The following is a 3,375-nucleotide window of genomic DNA, read 5'->3' as shown; positions in this document are numbered from 1 at the left end:
GTCACACTGACCCTCCACTGAGCTGTTAAACATGTAAGCCATACAGTGTGCCAAAGCTGAAAAAGCACACTGTAACACACACCCTCTGGGGCTTTGAAGGTTGCAGGTATCCCCCAGATGCTGCTGCAGGGCCGCAAAGAGTTCTACTCCTCCTGGCACCCAGAAGCACTTGTCCTGGCCCTTGCACCTGCTCACCTGGATGCTCCCCCTCCCATGAGGGGTTGAGAACTGTGGGCTGAGTAAATGAGCCAACCCCTTTGCGAGTCCCACAAAAGGGTCAAGGGAACTATGTTGTTTCACTAACATCATCCTATTCACCATTGGAGCAAACCTTTTTCTCTAAGATCAGGAACAAGACAGGGATGCCCATTTTCACCACTTCTATTCAACATAGTACTGAAGTCCTAGCCAGAGCACTCAGGTATGAGAAAGAAACAAAAGGCATCCAAATAAGAAAGGAAGAAGTTAAATTGTTTCTGTTTGCAGATGACATGATCTTAAATATAGGACAATCCTGAAGACTCTACCAAAACTGTTAGATTAATTACATTCTGTAAACTTGCAGGACACAAAAATCAACATACAAAAATCAGTAGTGTTTCTCTACCAATGAAGTGACCAAAAAAAAAAAAATCAAGAAAATAATCTCATCTACAATAATTAACAAAAATACCCTCAAATCTCTAAGCCAAAAGGAGAAGTCAAGCTGGGAACTGCTTAGGGCAAACCTTCCTCTCATTCCATTGAAAGTCATCCCTCTGAGGCTCATCTGAGACAAATGCATATCTGATTGCTCCCTCTCCCCTACTGTTTATGTAAAAATGCAGATTCGCTGAGCCAGACTAAATTGTGTATTCAGTGGAAGGCTGGTCAAGGACTCAGAAGAATTCAACCTTTTGTCTCTTATCTTCTTCTAACCTAGAAGCCCCCACTTCAAGTTGTCCTGCCTTACTGGACCAAACCAATGCACATCTTACACATACTAATTGATGTCTCGTGTCTCCCTAAAATGTATAGAAGCAAACTATACCCCCAACCACCTTGGGCTTCCTGAGGCTGTGTCACAGATGTATCCTGAACCTTGGCCAAATAAACTTTCTAAATTGACTGAGATCTGTCTCAGACATTTTGTGTTCACAGAACTCACTGGCTTCTGAGAGAAAATGGAGAGCACAGGCCAACACATCACTCCATGCTCTGCTGAAAATAATTCCACCTGAGAGAAGTCCATGGAGAGTTCCCTGGTCTATCAAATCCAGCAAGAAAAAAAACAGGACCCAAATCAAATAGCCAGTGTATAATTAGGATGCTTTTGGTGCAAATAATAAATTCAAACTGAATTCTAAAAGAGTTTGGGATTCATTTGCATGTGGAACTGGAATCCAGTAGTAAGGCAGACCTCAGGGATGCTTTGATTTGGCTGCTCCAAAATCAAGAACCTGATTGCCTTCTGTGTATTCACTCCGGCTTCCCTGCTGTCAGCTGTGTTCTCTGGAGAGGATGGCTATAGAAGTTCTGGACTTCGCAGCTACTGAGCAAAGTATCTCCCAGATCAAAGAAGAGCATCTTCCTTGGAAGCCTCAGCAAATTCCCCTCCCTCCAAGGTGGGGCTGGACCTCATCCAAGATAGAGGCTTGTCAGTGGCTGGTGTGGGACCCTGCTGAGGGACAGTGGAAAGGATGGTTGACAGCTACACTCGGCACTGTCCTGGAAAAGCGTGACACAAGTTCCTTCTGAGTGGGGCTGTAGGAAGGTCTACCACAGTGAGGTGTCTAATGGCAGACTCTAATCCTGGTAGAGAGAGAGCCCATGCAGGCAAGGCTGGCCCCAGGCAGTGGTATTAGCCACAGTGGCTGTGCCAGGCTCAGCTGCCCGCAGTTCTGCAGAGTGACAAGCAGTCCCAGGAACAGGGGGAAAAGGCTCTAAAAGAAGCCATGATCTTTTTTGAAGAAAGGGAAGGGGATCTGGGAGCCAGTGCTGGTGTGAGGTCCTGTGGTGGGCTGTTTCTAGACCCCTGCATGGCCTTCCCAGTGCAGGGTTGATGGCCTGGTGGACCACGGGCCCTAACTTCACTGCCTACTTGTGGTCATTAGCACATCTTGGATGATGACACTCCCGAACCTGCCACCACCCTCCCCACGGTAAGGAGGAGACGATTCCAATTCTGGGGGCATCCCCCGGCTCTCCACAAAAGCCTATCCACCAGGACGGGGGCTCCACATTCCTTTCTATCACTCATCCCCATCAGAAAGGAACTTTTAGGGCACTCCTGATGATGGCCCATTTATTTGTCTATGAAGTATGACCACAAGCCATTGTACTCATAAGTTCTATACAGATACTGTAAAAGATGAGATAAAAGTAAGTATAAATAAAAATTGTAGTATTTTCCTTCATCACTCCTGTGGACAACAGTGGTTGTGCAAGTGCCAGACGAGCCCTGGGGACAATTGCCCAGAGCCACAAGACTTGGAGAGCCTTGAGATCCAGGACTGTGGTTTTTATTTATATAATTCATTTTAAATTATTTTTATTGTGATATAATGCACATAACATACAATTTACTATTTTAACCGTTTTTAAGTGTACTGCTAGTGGCATTAAGTACATTCACATTGTGGTGCAAACATCACCTCCATCCATCTCCAGGATTTTCCATCTTCCCAAATCGAGACTCTGTACCCATAAAACAGTAACTGTCCATTTCCCCTTAGACCCAGCTCTGGCAACCCCCATTCTGCTTTCTGTCTCTGTGCATTTGACTACACTAGATCCCTCATGTAAGTGGAATCATACGGTATTTGTCCTTTTGTGTCTGGCTTCTTTCACTAATGTCTTCATGGTTTATCCATGTTGCAGCATGGGTCAGAATTTCCTTTCTTGTGAAGGCTAAATCCTATTTCATTGTGTGTGTATGCCACATACGCATATATTTTGTTTATCCATTCAGCTATCAATAGACACTTTGGTCGCTTCCACCTTTTTTTTTTTTTTTTTTTTTTTTTTTTTTGAGACAGTCTTGCTCTGTCGCCCAGGCTGGAGTGCAGTGGTGTGATCTTGGCTCACTGCAAGCTCCACCTCCCGGGTTCACGCCATTCTCCTGCCTCAGCCTCCAGAGTAGCTGGGACTACAGGCGCCCACCACCACACCCAGCTAATTTTTGTATTTTTAGTAGAGACAGGGTTTCACCATGTTGGTCAGGATGATCTCGATCTCCTGACCTCGTGATCTGCCCGCCTCGGCCTCCCAAAGTCCTGGGATTACAGGCGTGAGCCACCACGCCCAGTGGAAATTTCTATTTGTAAATGACTGAGGAACTGCCATGCTGTCTTCCACAGCGGCTGCAGCATTTTACCTTCCCAGCAGCAGTGCACA

The 3,375-nt window shown here is 45.8% G+C and overlaps 1 annotated feature.

The window, feature by feature from the left end:
• Positions 318-1,041: an enhancer, noted in NCBI's record as "NANOG-H3K27ac hESC enhancer chr10:128379081-128379804 (GRCh37/hg19 assembly coordinates)". NCBI's record gives its function as "activates a minimal SCP1, AML or CMV promoter by ChIP-STARR-seq in naive H9 embryonic stem cells {active_cell/tissue: H9 hESC(naive)}" and the evidence as "EXISTENCE:reporter gene assay evidence [ECO:0000049][PMID:30033119]".

Source organism: Homo sapiens, chromosome 10, assembly GCF_000001405.40.
Source record: "Homo sapiens chromosome 10, GRCh38.p14 Primary Assembly".
In the NCBI taxonomy this organism is placed as follows: Eukaryota; Metazoa; Chordata; class Mammalia; order Primates; family Hominidae; genus Homo; species Homo sapiens.
This window is presented reverse-complemented; position numbering and strand designations above follow the sequence as displayed.